Source organism: Homo sapiens, chromosome 13 (genome assembly GCF_000001405.40).
Source record: "Homo sapiens chromosome 13, GRCh38.p14 Primary Assembly".
Lineage (NCBI taxonomy): Eukaryota > Metazoa > Chordata > Mammalia > Primates > Hominidae > Homo > Homo sapiens.
In genome coordinates, this window is record NC_000013.11 from 78,398,390 (window position 1) to 78,408,106 (window position 9,717).

Consider the following 9,717-nt stretch of genomic DNA (forward strand, 5'->3'; position numbering starts at 1 on the left):
GGTCCAGCTACCCATCGTGATTTGGGGGTCAACAAACCAGGAGTCCCAAGACTTTCCCTTATTATTTGTACTTCCTGAGCACATAGCTGAGCCACCTTGAATTCATTTGTTCATATGTGAAACACAGAACACAATAATTTCTTCTCAAGCTGTTGGGTAGATTAAATGAGATGATATTTATCAGAAGAGGGTTGTAAACTTGGGGGCACTAGACAAGTATCAGGTATCATTATTACTATTACTAATGATATTAGCAATATTATTATTCAGTGGAGAAAATAAAAACACTATTGTAAAGCCTTTGCGGATTCCCCTCCAAGTGACTGTCCATCTTCTGCTAGAATTTAATCTCTCTGAATGAGAAATACTTTCCATTCTCTCAATTGTTCCCCATGTAAAATAATTTTATATTTTATTACCAGCCCTGTTGCTCTTGCCTAAATAGTAGTTAATTTCGAGTAGTCTCAGGCTGAGAATTGAGCACAATAGTCCAGATGTGGTCTGAGCAGTATTATCTTCTCCTAGATTCTATACTCCATACATCTGCTAATTGAACCCAGACACTCTTTAGCTCTTAGCAGCAGTTGCATCACACTACTTTGAGTCTTAATCAAAGAAAATAGCCTCATTCTTTCTATCTTCTTTCTTTTCCTTATTTTTCTTTCGGTTACTTTGATGTGCTTGCATACCCAAGGAAGGTCCCCTTGAGCTACTTTTTCCCATCTTGAGCAATTATTGAACTAATAAGTGGGAAAATGTGCAAAACAGTCTCTCAAAAACCAAAAACAAAACCCAGCAGTTATTTGCCTTCTCCCATGCCAACAATAGAGACTGAATAAACACATGTTCTTTCATTTTTCACTTATGATAGGCAACACTAAGATTCACTTCCTCATAGGCCGGTTTTGAATGTTCAAGTTTATCGGGCTTTAGGTTCAGAACACTCACTAATGCTTTGATGCACTAAGACACAGTTCTCACTGGAAGGGTTTTTATTAAGTGGACAGCTATGGTGTCACAGGCAAGACATTTGCACAGTGCATTAATTTAGAGAGAAAAAGGTTTCTGTGTAACTTAACCAGACTGAACAGCTATTTCCACTTTACCTGAATAAAGTATTTTCATGTTTTATCACAATAGTTTGCAACTGCAAAAGCTTCGCCCAGTTTTTAAGAGTAGCTATGAACTGTCAGGATACATTATTTGAAATGAAGCCTGACAGCTCCAGGCTTGAAAGTAAAATACATTTTATTGTTTAAAAGCATTTCTCTGCCACCTCACTTTCATCCCCCCTCCCAAACTCCGCTCATCCCACCATCCCTTATAAGCACCCCTCTCCTGGCCTGAAATGAGATTCACTGCAATCATTCTAAAATTGTTTAATCCTCATTAAATAACACTGCATGAAGGAAAATCTTAAAGGTGGGGTTTCCTTTTCTTAGTCTGAAAATGAATCATGAGAACTAATACAGAGTATTTTGTGTATGTGAGAGGAACAGATAGCACACAAGAAGTTGTACACACTGTTGTGTTGGAAGAAACAAAATCCTGTTCAGTTAGTATCCGGAGAAGGATGATTAAATGCCAAATGGCTTGCACTCTGCGCTACATATATTACCACCTTGGTGACTGGAAGTTTCTTAAACCTCTAGTCTGATGGTCCATCCGAAGAGAGACAACACAGTGAATCTTTCTCTTGACAACACTTTCTCAAGGGACCCTTGAGTCTTTAAAGCAATCTTTGTCTGTTTCCAGATTCTGTTTTTTCTGGCCTTGGACAGAATGTTGTTTGCCAGAGAAGACTTTTTCTAGAATCTCTGAAATTACCATGGATTTATACACACCCATCAGTTATGCCTTATATATTCTGAAGACTGATATTCTAGGGAACATAGTAGAGGTGGAGTGATGTTGTCCAGTGAGCATTCTTCTCCAGAAATTCACTGCTACCTTTTTCTTACCACAGCATCATAATGATTGAAGACAGGCAGGATTCCATTCAAAGCATACAGTACAGAAAAGAAAGGGCTGGGAAAAAAATTAACTTACAAATGAAAATCTTTTGTTGTTAATGATATTCAATAATAGAAGCCTAATCTCCTACGTATATTATCATCTGGCAAACTAGTTACACATTTAATAAGGTTTTGCTGTATAAATTATAAATGAAATAAACAATTCTGTCACCATGGTGTGCAATGAATACACCACATGTTATATGTAAATATATTAGTCATTTGCCTTTTGTTTATGTGTCACTGAAATCCATTTTCTTTATGGTGTATTTTCTATTCCCTATGGGTTCCAACCAAAGTCGTTTCAACCATACACATATCGGTCTTTAAAGTGGAATTATGCTGTTATTGTCCTTTTTCTGCCCAGTTTTAATAACACCTGCTTTTGTGCCAGTTTCATTTACTGCTGCAAATTGTAATTCAACAGAGAACAACAACAAAAACAACAAAAAAACCCAACCACCCTAACAGCAAATGTGACTCCAGAAAGGAGCTGTGTGATATATTGACACAATACAGAAAACATATTGAAACAATTTTTATTCTCATTATTTTTCCCCCAAAATTAAATATGCCCAATAAAGCAAGTTAACATATTCTGCGTGTCTCTCTCCACTCCCAACTAAACCCAAATCCTTGGCTTTTAATGAGATAATTTTTTAAAAAACAGAATCAATGTTTCAGCCTTTCAAGTGGTGGCATTTTTATTTTAAGCAGAGAGGCATAAATGCATGAAGGATGCAAATCTGGGCTCTTTCAATGGCTCACCACAGTGTGACAGCTGTGGACGGGATCAAGACAAAAGCGGTGACTGCTCCAAGAAAATGATGGCTTAGGCATCTCCAGCCCAATCAATAATCTGGCATGTTGAGGTCAATCACTGCATGACCATATTCAGTTCGAGCCAGCCAAAGATTATTAGTTTGACACCCAGAGGCTATTTCTTTCTGCTGTGGATGGCGGAAAGAGAGCTTGTGTGCATCTCTTCAGAACCAAATGGAGAAAGCCTAACTATTTATAACAATAGAAGCACTGAAACAGAATTTTCAGAGAGGCTTCATATTTGTTAGGAGGAATCCCCTACAATATCCTCCAGGCTGAGTAATTCTTCTGAAATTGTCACTAAGCTAATTTTGTGTTTCATCCATTCAAAAAATTAGAATGTTTTTAAGCCTCTATCATTTCCCAGGCTGTGTCCTAGCACCTGGCAGATACAAACACAAATAAGATACACTTGTTATCCTCAGAGAGGAATAAATGTAGAAGCTTCTACAAAGATGTTGATGCTCTAAATTTCCTCTAATATTCGGCATTCCTATTTTTCTTCTTCCCCCTCTTCTCCACCCTGGCCAAATTTCCCACATGCAAGCAGGACAGATTTTACTGGGATAAAGATAAGAGGGGAAGCAAGATAATCATTATTTCAGATTATTTGGGCTAATAGTATTCAGATCTAGCCTAAGAGATAGCTAAAGTGGGTTCCAGAAAACATCTGAAAGCTTTATACATTACTAAAAGGGCAATAGAACTAGCCACAGGAAGCTATTTCTAAGTGACATTCCAGTCCTTTTCTGCAGTCCACTGCCTGTCTAAGGCATTCGGTTGCTGACCATGGTGTTCACATATGCTCACTAACGGGAAACAGTTTGTGGCTAGGAGAGATCCACAGGAGTGTATGGAATAGGGCTCTTGCTGTCTGATATTTCACCAGTCATGTTTTACTGTTTCTCCTGGATGGCATGCCATAGAGTGTAATAAATCTCAGTTTGTTTATATTCTGTGTCTGTATTTGCACTTTGGTGATTATATTTGAATTCATGCAAGATCCTTTTTTTTTAAGAACTTGAGCATAATCTTCTCATTAATCCTGTCCTGTTTGTCTGTTATTAACAGGCCACTGTACAATGTATTCTGCTGCAAAACTCCACCAGGCATGACTAATTCAGATAATTAATTTGCTAGAACATTAACACCATCAAATGAGCCTGCTAAACCGGTAAATTTAAAGTAAATTAAACTTAATTTGCAGGTTATTGCAATTAAGTCTGCCTTGTCTTTCTGAGGGATTTCAACATCCTCAGTATTTAAGAGGCAATCATAATGCATGCAAGTGGGCGGGCTTTTTGGCTAATTAACACAAGAGTCTAATCTGCTTTTCAATTAGGGTGGATGTTTATAATGTGCTGGTGACAGTGTTGCGATTCAGTGCAGCATAACAGGAGTGCGTGGCATAATTATAGCTGAAAAGAAAAGCTCATGCCGGGCCTTTTTAGGGGTTAATGAGACATTGGCAGCTTCCAGCTGAGGAGATCGAGCCAGTTTAGTGTAGCTTCAAGAGGAAACCACCCATAGGGGTTTCCTTTGAAGTGTCAAAAGGTCCCCTTGTTCTGGGTGGCTTATGTTTCATTTGTCTGAGTGGCATATCAAAAATTGATGAGCTGCCAGCAGCAGTCCCTATGACATTAATTCACCAATTGTGTTTCTAATAGTTTCATCCTTAAATAAATTTGGATGATGAGAATGGTAAGGAGAGTCAAGGTTCTGAAAACAATGAGCAGAGCCAGGCTGTTGCATGGTTTTTATACAACACAGACAAATGTAGCAGCAGTAAATGTTAAAGGCATGGCTGGCCTACTACACCCTGGGTTATTAGCTAAGGGAAGACAAAGATGTATTGTGCCTGTGCCCTCTGCCAAACAACAGTCACTCAAAACAGTGATAAAAATGTGGCATTCACTGGCACTTAGCTTAAACTCTTAACTATACAGGGGAGGGATCTTAAGCTGGGGCTTCAGAAGAGGAAGTTTCTATGAATCTGAGACATAAACCTCCTTGGAAACACTCTTACTAAAGCCGCCTATACATCAGAGCTGAGGCTAAGGGGAAATAGCCAAATAGTAACACAATAAGATTGCACTTACATTTAGAGTATGGAAATTCACATTATCTCCTCATGTCTACAGTAAACACTAAACCAAGGTGCTTTGAGGCTCAGCTTGAAACTGAGTTGTTGAGGTATACTTGCATAGAAACCATCTTCCAGTGCTTATTATGGTCTAGTTCACCTGAGGCTATGTGATGTCATTGTGCTGTCTGTTTTTTGTTGTTGTTGTTTGTTTTTGTTTTGTTTTTTGACAGAGTTTTGCTCTGTCACCCAGGCTGGAGGGCAATGGCGCCATCTTGGCTCGCTGCAATCTCTGCCTCTCGGGTTCAAGCAATTCTCCTGCCTCAGCCTCTTGAGTAGCTGGGATTACAGGCATGCGCCACCACCCTCAGCTAATTTTTGTATTTTTAGTAGAGACAGGGTTTCACCATGTTGGTCAGGCTGGTCTCAAACTCCTGACCCTGTGATCCACCCTCCTCGGCCTCCCAAAGTGCTGGGATTACAGGTGTGAGCCACTGGGCCCAGCCAATTTCTGGTTTTATATGTTCTTTGGTTATATAATGAGGAAAAGAGAATTTACAAATAGACAGTTGTTTCCAGGATGAATATCATACATGTCATGCCTAAAATTTATCTGAGAACATACATCTGGTACATACATTGGAATGACTAGCATCATATTTTCAAAATATTTAGGTGAGCAAGTGGAAAGTAAAGACATCAAAACCTTGTGCAAAATAAAAGTTCTTACCACCACAGTGCTACATGTTTTCTTTTAAGAATGCCAAATTATGCATGATGATTATAAAGAGCGTTGCAAAGATGGCCCTTCTTTTGGCCTTCATGTAACATGCATGAAGTAAATTACAGCTGGGTAAAACCCCCAGCCTTTCACAGAGACATGAATGGAGCAGTCAAATAAATTATTCCAGGTACTTGCAGAAAGATTAATCTACCCAAATTAATTGTAAAATCTCCTAAGCTAGTATTGTCACATAGACATAGCCAAAGAAAGTCATGATGTATTGCAATGGATGTTGGGGAATAAATCCATTCATTCATTTGTTTCTTTATCTTTGAACACATATTATGTGACATACATTGTGCATTGAGGCTAAGGCAATGACCAAAACAATGTCCCTATATTCATGGAGCTTACAAATAAATGGGAGACCATCAGTTATTGATAAATGCAATGATGATAATAAAGTAGGGTAATGTGACAGAGTGACTGAAAGGCTACTTTAATCTGGGTGTTAGGGAATGACCATCTTTGCAAGGAGGTCACATTGAAGATGAGACCAAAATGATACTGAAAAGTTTTCAATAACAGATGACCTAATTTGTAGTTTCAAAAAGATCACTTTGGCTCCTGCCTGGAAAACAGAAGTGGAAAGGCGTAGTACTATAAGAATTAAAGCAATGAGACCATTTAGAAGTCTACTTGTGTGTTCTAGAAGCTACCACCCAGGCTAAGCCCCTGGGTTCAAAATATGATTTAGAGATAAGTTTGATGTTTTGTTATACAGGACATTGAAATTGTGAGTAAATTATTAGGCATTCACATGGCAATGTCAAGTTGGAAGTTGGACATATGAGTCTGGACATTAAAGGAGACTCCAGAGCTAAATATATAAAATAGGAAAGCAGCCGTTGATATTCAGACATGAGCTGGCAGATTACCCATGGTAGGCAGTGTACTTAGAGCAAAAACAGAGTTCCAGGATTCTTACACAGAGCCACAGAGAGGGAGAAGCTAGCAAAGGAAACAGAAGCTGAGTGGCCAGTGAGGTAAGGGGAACAAAACATGAATATGAAGGAGGGCGACACTGGAAACAAAAGAAAATGTTTTGAGAAAAAAGGGAGCAGCCAGCAGCGTTGAATGCTAATGAGAGGTTGAATAAAATGAAAAGAGACAAATGTCCATTGGATTTAGCATCATGGAGGTCAGTCGTGACCTTGACAAGAGCCATTTCAATGATGTGTGGGGCCAGAAGAAAGCCTGGGTGGGACGAGAATGGGAGATGAGCAAGTGAAGAAAGTGTTTACCGACAATTACTAGGAATATGAGATCCACGAAGAGATTTTTAAATATAGAAGAGAGCTGTGTGCATGTTGATAGCAACAATCCAGGAAAGAGAAAAACTTAAATCACAGGAGAGAAGTAAAAAGGACATGGACTCCACAGCACACGGGGAAGACTTGGCCTTTGGTGGGAGCCAGGCTGAAGTCCTGGAAAACTGAAGGAGAATTTGAATGTGGGGATTCAGGCAGGGGGCTGGGGGATAGGGACCTGTGTGAAATAGTCATTTGAAGGCCAAAAGCCACCAATAATAGATTAGGTTCAATTTGTTGTTTGATTGCAAATGTGTTTATTGTGAGGTAATGCACACTCATTAAAGAAAAAGGAAGAGGAAAATACAGAAAAGTGTAAGAAAACAATTACATTTAACCTCCAAAATAATAGAGTGGTCTAACAATGAGGGGAACAAGTGAGTTTATTTCTCTATAGAAATCCCAGAATGAGACTGAAAAGAAGTCTCTGTCCAGTAGAGACCTATATCTAGGATGCATTCAGAAAAAGTTCCTTTGTGTTGGGTCTTTGGTCCAAGTTACTGTAGACGTGTGCTTTGCGCTAATCTCCATCATCAGCAGCATTTTTTTAAGTGGGTTCTGCCTTAGTGGTCTATTATAAAATTTGTCATACTCACTCTTACTTTCCTTAAATTCCAAATCCTCTTACAATTGTACTAAATATTGTGTAAATTATATAGTGGCTTTAATCAGTTTTCAAGAAAGAAATTGTTACATATATAATGGGATGTTTTAGGGAATTTATTTTTTTCTGCTAAATTTCTGGCATGGTTACAATAGGGGGAACATAGCCAGGAATAAGAAGTGGCAAGGCTGGAGCCTAGGGCACAATATTAAGAAGACATTCACTCTCAGACTATGCAACTGAGAATGAGTGCTCCCTAAAACGTTGTGCCCCAGGGCATCAATATTGCTTTACCCTAGTACTGACCCTTGCTAACAGCCTTTCTCTTCCATAAGTTATCTCTTGGAGCTACTCTTAAGATATGATGGATTGGGTATAGCAGGAGTGAGTCCTGGCATGTTCCTTTTTGGTATCATTTTAAAGATTTAGTAACCATGGATATGTAGATTTATGGGAAAAGTAAACAACACAAAACATGCACAACCAGAATCAGCTCTTCTGTACCTTCCTAAATTAAAGATGTGTTTTGTTTTTATATAAAAGTAAGTGACAGAGAGTAAATAGCAATCATTATTATACTGAAATTGAAGGATGCAAGGCAAGTAGCACAGGCCTGGCTCATAGCAGATGCTCAACAAGCGAGAGCTATTATTTTCAAAAGTGGTTATCACTAGCTGATGTGTGCTCAGTAATGTGTTTTTCTGATTTTAATATTTTTTAAAAAACACATCTTGATTTTTTAAATATATAACTGCTTTTAAGTAGATATTTACATGCAGCTACTCTTACTTTTGTCCTTTGCGCTGGTCTTATACTAATAATTGCATCTATAAAGCATCTTAAAATTTACAAACTACTTTCACTCATAATAGCTTGTTGGCTCTTTGCAACCACATAAGTTACCCAGTATTACCCAGTTGATAGAGTAGTAATAAGCTGAGATTTGCCTAGGACACAGCTTTGGAAAACAGACCCAAGGATGTCACTTAGGACTTCTGACTTCAGATCCCAGATCTTTCTACTCTGTGCCATTAACAATTAGATAATAAGTCTTTTCAGCTCCTAAGCTTGGATGAGAAAGAAGCCAGCAAGATTTCGGGTTGCTGTTTTTATAAATCAAACAGGGCCCTCACCCACAACAATGGGGAGGAGAGAGAACGAAATTAATCAAAGGGTAAAATCAAGAACCTGAATTGCTTTCTAGCTCAACCAACTGCCTATAGAGTTCTCCTCAGATATCTATGAGTCAGGGTGGCCTAGAATTGAGATTATACTGTAGAAACTAAGAGCCCCAAAGTCACAGTGGCTTAAAACAACTGTATTTAATTCTCACTCATGTGACAGGACCTATGAACAATGGAATCATTCAGGGTTCAGTTCTATCTCAACACAGGTATCCACAACCACAGAAGCAGGAAAAAGAGGGCCTGGTGAGCCACAGCCCTGATGCGTGTCCAAGTTTTCATCTACCCTATCAATTCCCCCAACACACCTCCAGGCACCAAAGTGCCAATTTGTGGCTCTGTTTTAATTCTCTCTCCCTCATTCTCTCTAACACCTTACTACCCAAATCCTGTAGACTTTTTCTTTCTCCTATCTCTGACTTTCTCATTTGAGGAAAAATGCCTTAAGGTCAATGAATATTGTATATGAGGGTTTCTACCACAAATGTCATTTGAGAAAACACCTCTTGATTTCATGCAAGACATGTTTTGCTTCAGAAAGACACCAGAAGGGGCACAAACCTGTAGTCAGAAGCCCTAGGTTTCTGTTCCATATTTTGCAGTTCACTTAATTTCTATAAGCATAAATTTCTATATCTGTAAAACGGGGATAATAGAATCCTTATCCCACTGGATTGTAATGAGGATTAACTGTTGTCATAGGTGTTGAAGTTCCTCGTAAGTTATAAAATCTTGTACACTTGGTAGGAATTATCATTATTAATATTAATGTGAGCTAGGCAGTAATAACCTTGAAGCAATTAGCAGCTGTTAATATACTAAACTGGATTTACTTGTCCTAATGAACTATAGAATGGTTTTACTTAAAGGGCAAAGGCAATCATTAATTTACTCAAGTATCTATTATGCACAAAT

At 38.5% G+C, this 9,717-nt stretch overlaps 1 long non-coding RNA gene across 1 annotated transcript in view, besides 1 other annotated feature; it reads left to right on the top strand.

The window, feature by feature from the left end:
• OBI1-AS1 (OBI1 antisense RNA 1) overlaps positions 1-9,717 on the top strand; it is a 562,471-nt gene that overhangs the window by 343,535 nt on the left and 209,219 nt on the right. The window lies entirely within an intron of this gene.
• Positions 3,491-4,814: an enhancer, noted in NCBI's record as "VISTA enhancer hs915". NCBI's record gives its function as "enhancer in: midbrain (mesencephalon)[8/8] | limb[8/8]" and the evidence as "EXISTENCE:transgenic organism evidence [ECO:0001131][PMID:17130149]".